This window comes from Homo sapiens, chromosome 6, assembly GCF_000001405.40.
Source record: "Homo sapiens chromosome 6, GRCh38.p14 Primary Assembly".
NCBI lineage: Eukaryota > Metazoa > Chordata > Mammalia > Primates > Hominidae > Homo > Homo sapiens.
The window spans coordinates 140,921,927-140,923,431 of record NC_000006.12 but is presented as its reverse complement, the minus strand read 5'-3'; the positions used below and the strand labels follow the sequence as shown (position 1 = coordinate 140,923,431).

General features: G+C 38.3%; 1 pseudogene; it reads left to right on the top strand.

Annotated features, from left to right (window-relative positions):
• RPS18P10 (ribosomal protein S18 pseudogene 10) lies at positions 478-1,015 on the top strand (annotated as a pseudogene).

The window sequence follows — 1,505 nt, the reverse complement described above, 5'->3', positions numbered from 1 at the left end:
ATACATAATATTAAATAGCCTCCTAGGAACAAGGAACAAATACAATATTTATGTGGGTCCAGAAACTTCCTGAAAATGTACATGTTCTAAAGCACCCTTGAGCACTTAGAAACTCTGAACTTCCTGATCACCTTTTGCTAAGCGTATTCTACTTGAAGACCATCTCTTGGGAAACTTGGCCATGAGCCAGGAACTCTGACATGATTACTATGCTGAGGCCAAATAAAACTCTATAGTACTGCCCAGAACATATAGTGCATTCTAACCACAAAAGAGAGTTCAGACAAATCTCTACTAAGGGATATTCTACCAAATATCCAAGTATCTGAGCAGTAACCCTGAAAACTGTCAGTCATCAAAAACAAGGAACATCTGAGAAACTATCACAAACAAGACACAGGACACAGGACAACTAATTGTAATGTGGTATGCTGGTTGGGATTTTAGGACAGAAAAAGGACGTTAAGGAAAATTGAGCTGTTCCACAGGTGGCCTCCACACCTCCACTTGTGTTGCTGCCATATCCATAGTGATCCCTGAGAAGTTCCAGCATATTTTGCGAATACTCAACACCAACATCAATGGGCGGTGGAAAACAGCCTTTGCCATCACTGCCATTAAGGGTGTGGGTTGAAGATATGTTCACATGGTGTTGAGGAAAGCAGACATTGACATCACCAAGAGGGCAGGAGAACTCACTGAGGATGAGGTGGAACCTGTGATCACCATTATACAAAATCTACCCCAGTACAAGATCCCAGACTGGTCCTTAAACAGACAGAAGTATATAAAGGATGGAAAATATAGCCAGGTCCTGACCAATGGTCTGGAAAACAAGGTCTGTGAAGATCTGGAGTGACTGAAGAAGATTCAGGCCAATAGAGGGCTGTGCCACTTCTGGGGCCTTCATGTCTGAGGCAAGGACGCCAAGACCACTGGCTGCAGTGGCCCTGCTGTGGGTGTGTCCAAGAAGAAATTGGCATGTGGGCCTTGTCTGTTAATAAATAATTTATATGAAAAAAAACAGGAAAACCAAGGGAATCTAAAAAAGTAATCTAAAATGAACTTTAGTTAATAATGTTGTATCAATATTGGTTCAATAACTATGACAAATGTACTATTTTAATTTCAGTTGTTAATAGGGGAAACTGAGCATAGGATATACTGGAACTCTCTATACTGTCTTTGTAAGAATTCTTTAAATCTAAATTTATTTATTAAATATCTCTGTCATAAGTTCTAGTTAAGAAACTTCAATTTAAAATTTTTGACCACTGAAAATGGAAAGGTGGAACATTGTGCTTGGGGGATATATGTCCAAGATTTCAAAAATTCTGATAGCCAACAGATTTCAAATGATTGTTATTATTTTTCTTACTTATAAAGTGGCACAGTTGATCAAGATGACTTTTATTTACTGTGACTTTCTTACAGACCCCAAATGTTTGAAGACACAACTTCTGAAGACAAAATTTTTACACACACATAGAAAAAAAATTTGGTTT